This window comes from Homo sapiens, chromosome 6, assembly GCF_000001405.40.
Source record: "Homo sapiens chromosome 6, GRCh38.p14 Primary Assembly".
Taxonomy (NCBI): Eukaryota; Metazoa; Chordata; class Mammalia; order Primates; family Hominidae; genus Homo; species Homo sapiens.
The window spans coordinates 139,582,777-139,591,186 of NC_000006.12; the positions used below are offsets into that span (position 1 = coordinate 139,582,777).

Below are 8,410 nucleotides of genomic sequence, written 5' to 3' on the forward strand. Positions count from 1 at the left end.
AATGTTAACAACAACAACAAAACCAAAGGTAAAAATCAGTGAGAACATAAGTTTGAGAAGCTTTGGAATACAACAGAAATTTTATCACAAAGATGAGCCCTGCAGTGAAAGGGAAAATTAATATTTCTAAGTTAATTAGTCAGGAATACAGGTATACTGTGGCAACAAACAACCCCAAAGATTCACTGCACAGGTGATTGCAGGTTGGCAGGGGCTCTGCTCATCACAGTCAGCAAAGGACCAGGCTGCTGGGAACTCCATCTAGACTCACAGTTTCAATATCCCTGAAGGAGGGAAAAGAGGATACTGTAAACTGCACATTGTCTCAGAATCACATTTCATTGGCTAATGCAGGTTACGTGATGATGACTAAGTTCACAGGGGTTGGGGTGAGGTGGAGAATAGCAATTCTACTTGAGACCAAGATGAGAATATCTTGAATATTTGTGACACTAGGTCTTCGCAAACATACCATTATTAGCATGCTCATTTTTAAATTTGGAGACTAAAATCCAAATTATAATTCCAGATAGTGATCATTCTAAGATGCAAAACAATGAACACACTCAAGCTGATTTTGGATTTGACCATACACATTTCTCAGAAGAGGGAGCTTTCCTGGAGAAGGTGAAGAAAGAGAAGGATATTTGGCAGTGCTGATTGGTAAGTTACCCATGATAGAAGAACTGGCAGGTAAGAATTCTTGGCAGTGAGAATGCACAAAAGGAATGAAGCAAAATTAACGGGGTTAAAGGTCAGGGAGCATACAAGAACACAGGTAGAGCTGTGATCAAAGGAACGAGTGGCTTATGACAGAACTTCTTTACTAAGGACTCTGAAGTCAAAGTCATATTTGTGTTTAATATAGAGTATCCTATATGAGTCAACAGGTATGGAATGAAAGAAATGCATTCAGATATGAAGAGATAGGACTAACAACAAGTCTACAGAGAAAGTACAGTGAATATCTGAATTTTTATGTTGGGTCATACACATTGGTTTTGCTAGTGGTATACCTCAACATTTAGTACTTACCGACACTGTCACTATGCAGTTCACTTTCCCAGCAGAACAAATGAAAATTCTTTTTTTTTTTTTTTTTTTTTTTTTTTTGAGATGGAGTCTCGCTCTGTCACCCAGGCTGGAGTACAGTGGCATGATCTTGACTCACTGCAACCTCTGCCTCCCGAGTTCAAGCAATTCCCCTACCTCAGCCTCCTGAGTAGCTGGGACTACAGGTGCGCACCACCATGCCCCGCTAATTTTTTGCATTTTAGTAAAGACGGGGTTTCACCATATTGGCCAGGATGGTCTCGATCTCCTGACCTCGTGATCTGCCTGCCTCGGCCTCCCAAAGTGCTGGGATTACAAGCATGAGCCACCAAGCCCGACCAACAAATGAAAATTCTACTAGAGAGATAGTTTAATTAAAGCATGTAATTAGTTGATTACCTGCTTCATAGAAGTAACAACTTTACTTTAATGTGGTATTCTGTTATCAGTCTGGGAGGTGAAGAGTCCTAAATAGAGTGGCTTTATTGACTCTTTGAATACAATGCTCTTAGAATGACATCATGACTTAGGGTAAAATATTAATTTCTAATCCTCAAAACCATATATTCAGATATAAGCATAAAAACATATTCAAAATGCCAACTATAATTCAAAATATATAAGCAGTTGACCCTTGAACGTTTTGGGGCATAGAGGTGGTGATCTCTCCTACAGCAAAAAATCCATGTATAATTTCTGACTGCCCCACATCTTAACTACTAATAGCCTGCTGTTGACCGGAAGCCATACTGACCACATACACAGTCCATTAACACATATTTTGTATGTTATTTGTATTATATACTGTATTATTAAAATAAGCTAGGGAAAAGAAAATGTTATTAAGAAAATCATAAGGAAGAGACAATGTATTTACTATTTAGTAAGTGGAAGTGGCTCATCATAAAGGCCTTCACCCTCATTGTCTTCACATTGAGTAGGCTGAGGAGGAGGAAGTACTGAAGTTGATTTGTTGTCTCAGGGGTGGCAGAGGCAGAAGAGGTGGGAGGGGAGGCGGGACACTCAATGTAACTTTTATTGAAAAATCCACATCTAAGTGGACCCACATAGTTCAAATTCATGTTGTTCAAGGGTCAGATATGCATGTGTATATGTTTGCTGTTCAGTGCTGGCTGACTGGTGATGTTTGAATTTATCTCCACTTTAAAATATTTTTTTGGCTGGGTGCAGTGGCTGACGCCTGTAATCCCAGCACTTCGGGAGGCTGAGGCGGGCAGATCACGAGGTCAGGAGTTCGAGACCAGGCTGGCCAATATGGTAAAACTGCATCTCTACTAAAAATACAAAAATTAGTCTGGCATGATGGTGCACGCCTGTAGTCCCAGCTACTCGGTAGGCTGAGGCAGAAGACTCACTTTAACCCGGAGGCAGAGGTTGCAGCGAGCCGAGATTACACCACTGCACTCCAGCCTGGGCAACAAAGTAAGACTCCATCTCAAAAAATAAATAAATGAAAAAAAAATTTTTTTCCCTATTGTCCTTTATCTTGTATGTCTAGGGAGAGAATTGGCTAGCACACAAATAAAGGAGAAAGGAGGAGAAAAATTCCTTATGTGTGATATGTGATATAAATCTGAAATTCATGATTTTGAGGCAGCACGATTTAGAACAAAAAGAAAACCTAATATTAAAAAATATATGTAGTGATGCTTAAATCTGTAACAGATATTGGGAATGCAGGTGAAAATGAAATTTGTGTGCTGAAAGAGCAACGCCTCAAAAGACGTTACTCACAAGTCCATGCACATTATTTGACATCCTGTGTCATTTCGTAAATCACTTTCATGCTTGAGAAATGAAGTATATACATAAATAATATTGATGCGGATAGCAACAATAGTAAGTTCCTGGTCTTGTCTGCACTCACGTGTCTCTGTTGCAAAGGCTGTTATGGGATTCCACGGTACTAAAGAACTGGAATTAATGATTGGAAAAAATGTTCTCCAGTTGTTTGTCTAAGATAAATATGGCCTTAGACTTCAGGTTCTGCTTCTGCCCATCTCATGGACCATAAGCAGTGAAAAGCCAACCAAAATATAGTTAGTAATATTAATTATGATCAAAATGAGCTAATGGCACCCTGGGATGGTAGGGAAGAAAGTCAGAAGTAAAAGAAAGCACTATAATTACAGGGAAAAAGGCCTTCAGTTATTCTTGCCCTTTTGCTTGCTACCACCAAATTCTAGTCCTGAGTGCTTATAATTACTTTATGAGCCTAAAGTAAGTCATGTTGCTTGTAATCCTTATAGCCATATCTTAATGGAAAAGTATTCACATGTTTGATCCACCTATAATTTTTAGAGAGAGAATGACATTTTCAAGAACAGGGGTGAGAAACTTGGGGAGCCACACAATTCTTGCTTCATGTGTTTCTGTGCATATGTGCGTGCAATGCATATGTGTTCATAGCCACCATATTGACAAACTTAGCGAAGATGTGAAAGGACTGAGTGGCTCTAGGTCATGGAACTGGAAGGGCCAGGGTGATGGCTGAGAGATGAGTCTTTCTCCCCTGGAGCCTGAGAGGGCCTATGGTTGTTGCTTAGCAAGTTCTAGACAAGAATTCAGGTTATTATATAACTTGTTTTCAAAACATTCTTGTGTAGTAGGAATGTTGCAGCTATTCCTGGCCCCTCTTGCCAGGGAAGCACTCTAGCACTTGTGGGTTTGATATCCACTGTGGTGGGACAGGCTTATCAGGTTGGCCAAGCTTGTAGATCCTATTGTGATAGAATATCTTCTTCGCTCTCTACTTTTGTTGTTTACTTAACAAAAGACACTCCACCCTCGCTGCAAGTTTTGACACTCTCTCTGATACACTGTATGGCTACTGTACCTTGACTTTCAATTACATTAAATCCTATCATAATCATTTTCTTACAACAAATCCTCTTTAACACCTGTAAAGCTCAGCTCCCATGGGTGTAGGATTATGCTGTCAAAAATAAAAAACAGAAGAATTCTACTGGAATTGCAGTGGCTATTGCACGCGCTTAAAAATAAAATCAGCATAAGAGCCCTCCCCACTTTGCATTCAATTCTGGTAGCAAAAAAGAGAAAAGTTATTCAAGCCATTCAAATATGGCTTGACGTATAAACCAGTGGCTTTAATTCAGTGATTTTAAATCAATGTGATATCATGTTAAAATACTTTCTCTGGGAATGGATTTCTTTTGGAAGTGAGTTCCGGAATCCCTAATTATTACCATTGTAATGATTAATGTAGAACAGACTATTCTTCATTAATACCTAACAAAAATACATTGTATGGGAAGGCTTTCATTTGTTTGCTTTGTTTCTTTTAATGATCCTGCTTTATTGGTTGGACGACAAGCAAGTTTCAAAATTTAGGGTGTCATGATGGTGTCACCTCTTCTGCCTGGATTATTTTTGGTCAACATGTATAAGCCTGTTTTTTTTTTTTTTGTTTTTTTTTTTTTGCGAGGGAGTCTCCCTCTGTTGCCCAGGCTGGAATGCAGTGGCTCGATCTTGGCTCACTGCAAGCTCCGCCTCCCGGGTTCACGCCATTCTCCTGCCTCAGCCTCCCGAGTAGCTGGGACTACAGGCGCCCACCACCATGCCTGGCTAATTTTTTTTTTTATTTTTAGTAGAGACGGGGTTTCACCGTGTTAGCCAGTATGGTCTCTATCTCCTGACCTCATGATCCACCCGCCTTGGTCTCCCAAAGTGCTGGGATTACAGGCGTGGGCCACCGCGCCTGGCCAGAAGCCTGTTTTATTGTTCCATTTATTTAGGTTGTATTTCATGTGGTTTGCTGCTACTTTGGACTAACATCATTCTGAGCAACATTCTTAGGGTCAAAGGAGAGGAATGGGTATTTGAGGAATGTAACAGATTTTTGTCAGCAGTGTCTTTCCAGTATTAGTCATGCCTGTTGATTCTTCAAACTGATACTCTGAGCTCCATCCTGGGCAATGATAGCCCTTTTCGGATTAGCTGGTGGGAGGATGTCTCTCCAGTTAATCAAATCTCACCACAACAAGCACTCTATTCCACCTCTAACCAAGAAGTTATCTCTACTTCTATTATTTTTCCACTGTGTTAGGAAAATGAGTAGCTCGACATTATGTATCAATCAGAATTTAAAAAATCTTTCCTTTTGGAGTTGCTACCGCTAATTGCCAGGTTAGTAAAATCTTACCCATTCTGGCAATGAGGGTGTGCCACATTTTATTCACTTTTTTTTCAGGAACAAGAGTAAGATTACTGGTGACTCTAATCACCACATACAGCAGCCAGGTCTTTTGCTATGACCTGGGAGAGGTAGAGTTCTCAGCTTTCATAATGTAGCTTTGGTACAGGCCCATCTTTCCAGCTGAAGGTAATGTGAGCTGGAACTGGTCACAGAGGCCCTGGCAGCTGGCTTAACCTGTTTATATAAAGACGGAACACAGCCACTGATTAAGAGAGCCACCTCCTACTGATTGGTTTTGGAGTGGAGCCCAGAATTTTCCATGGAGATAGCTTTTAAAAGTTAGGTCAGCATCTCAATGAAAGATAAGGACACACAAGAAAGCCCTTGTGGGTTGCCCTGTCTTGAGAACCCCCACTGTTCAGCAAGGATCAGAATAGATATATGTGACCAGTGAAATGCTTCTACTAGGTTTATCTCTGTGAAAAGATCACTTTTCCCGGAGTGATCTTGTGGACTGAGGATTAAGTGGGTAAGCTTGAGCCAAGCTTAGCATTTAGCAACTTACGTATTTCCTTGGCTCTTCAATTCTGAAACCCTTCAGAGTGAACTGGTCAGTGATAAGATCAATTTGGTGTCAGGACATTTTATATGGGGGATGTTTTTAAACGGTGGGTACAATGTTGTAAATAACGAAAGACTATTGCTTCTAGATTTAAATCAGGGAATAAGGTTAAAAGGAACAAAAGAGGGATGGACAGGAAGGGGGAAAAAAGATTAAAGAATTCCATAGAGAATCAGTAGAGAAACTACAGGGCTTCAATGGTCCCATGAATTTCTCCACCCCCATGACTGATCAAACATACTTGAAGGAATAGTATTCCTACAAAACAGAGAAAAATGATCTCAGGCCATGATGCAATTTGTGGATGCAAAAGAATCTTTATACTGGATTGGAATTTGACCCTATAGTTTTGTTTACTTATAAGCAGAGACTGTTCCTTTATGAAGTTTTCTATCTGTGTGTTTAGAAATAAAAGTGTGTGGTAATGCCAAAACACTACTTGAATTGAAGTCGTTAGTAGCTGGAGTGTGTGCTACTAAAAGTAGTGACTGGAGGGTATTCCTGCCCTCTATTCTGCAACTTCCAGAGGTTTAAAAAAAAGAACATCCCACTTTTATAAAAAGAGAAAAAAAATCCTTTGCATAGATTATTATATAAATAAATCTTCTTAACACGCACTGCGGTTCTTTTTTTTTTTTTTTCAAAGCACAAAGAGTTATTGTGTGATTTATGTGAAAAGGTTATGTAACTGTACTCTGTTACTTTAAATAGTGTTTTTTATTTAAACTGCCAACTTCTTCATCACCAGCAAAGAAAAAAAATGCATATTTGCTAAGCACAAAGGTAATTTTCAAGGACTGTAATTAGCTCATGATAACTCTATCTTTTGTGATGTCTTTCCTGCTGAACTAGAAAAGAGATGGACTTTTTTTTCATTGTTAAATCTAAACTGTGGCACCTGCAATGTGTCAGTTCTATGAGAACCAGGGAGGAAAAAAGTTTAAAGTATTACACTCGGTCAGGGGAAAATACGGATGTAATAAGGTAACAGATCTTGCAATTTTCATCTGGCTTCATCTTTTCTTTTTACAAACATGACAAGGCTCTATTTCCTCCTGTTTCTATTGCCCAGCTGACCCTTTATTTCCAAGATATTAAAAGACCTATTTAAAAACCAAACGGAATATATGATATGGAAAATGAAAACAATAATGAAATTATGATAAAATACGTAGAAAAAAGTCAGGGGTGTAAATCTCGGTGTCTTTAACACAGGTGATAGGACAGAATGTTGGCAAGAGAAAGAAAAGCAAATGAAGCAAACGTTGGAGGAAGAGAATGCTAATTAATTAAATTCCTTCCAGGAAAATCAATCGCTAAGAAAAATCTTATTTCCATGAAAAATTCTATCTTTGGTGGAGGTCAGAGTATATGTGCACACTGGGTGTGTGTGTACAGTGTCACCAAATATATTTATGTCATTGATTGAGACTACTTTATGGAAGCATTTAGGGGGTCACAGTCAGAAAATTTTCCCCATGGTAAGGAGTATCTCCAAAGAAAATCTAGAAGTTTCCTTCCTAGGAAAATAAGCTGTTGTAGGCAGTAGAATTCCCCGAAGGTCACAACTGTACTACATTCTGGGATTTGGAGATCTGTTTCCTTCTGAGAAGTAAAACCTACCTTTGTAGACTGAGATCTGGGATCCTAGAGCTTGTTTTTCATAGTGTTGGACTATAACCACATGAACAACAGAAAAATCTATAAAGCACTTAAAGTCAAGGAACTGCAGTGTGGCAATGGTAGTTCTGGGTGCGTTTTCTGTGAAACTGTGAGAGCATTATCACCTGTTTGGTCACCAACCTGGTTGTCCAGGTGGCAGTTTGGCAAACAACCAGCATGAAAAACAACAACCTCTTGTAAGGAAAGGGCTGTGAAATCTTTGAGCATAGTTGTTCTCAGATGTTATTGATCCCTTTCAGTTCAAACATTAGATTTCAATTTTCATTGAAATCATTATAAACAACAGAAATGAGACTGAAAATGAATAAATATGCTTACAGCTCAGGCATCAGATATCTACTTCTGGCAATTCTGCACAGGGAGAAGGCAATTGATTTTTAAAGAGTGCTTTGCAACTGGCGGAGAGGAGCAAGACAATAGCTGACCGTTTCAATATATTATGGACAATGATGTCAATCAATATGTTTTGCAGCTAGAATTCAGTTGTAAGTTTGATTGTTGTATCTTTAAAAGTTAGGTGGGAATGTTGAGCCTCTATCAGGTGAAGTCTTCGGCATTTAGGATCTCATTAAATCTTGCTGTCTGGAAGGTGTTACATGCCCTGTTAAACAGATCAAATAAGGGAGGACTGAAAGTTAATTTCCTAGTCAGGAAGGAGGAAGTCAATTAAAAACTTACATTTGAAGAATGATCAATTTCACTTCAATTACCCGAAGGAAGTGTTTTGAAATGTGTATTTAAACTAAGAAATAGAGTATATATCAAAGGGAAAAAATTTAAACTGAAAGGAAAGGCCAAAGTTAGCAGCAATGGTGTATACAATAACAGGTGCAGCCTTTTCTAGGTTCACAGCTACCCTCTCTGACTTCAGCATG

At 39.0% G+C, this 8,410-nt stretch overlaps 2 annotated features.

Annotated features, from left to right (window-relative positions):
- Positions 6,136–6,280: an enhancer, noted in NCBI's record as "145 bp enhancer 251 fragment used in the MPRA reporter construct; PK_construct_1316". NCBI's record gives its function as "activates an SV40 promoter by MPRA in HepG2 cells {active_cell/tissue: HepG2}" and the evidence as "EXISTENCE:reporter gene assay evidence [ECO:0000049][PMID:23512712]".
- Positions 6,203–6,214: a transcriptional cis regulatory region, noted in NCBI's record as "FOXA motif; enhancer activity is reduced when this motif is scrambled". NCBI's record gives its function as "necessary for full MPRA enhancer 251 activity {active_cell/tissue: HepG2}" and the evidence as "EXISTENCE:site-directed mutagenesis evidence [ECO:0005528][PMID:23512712]".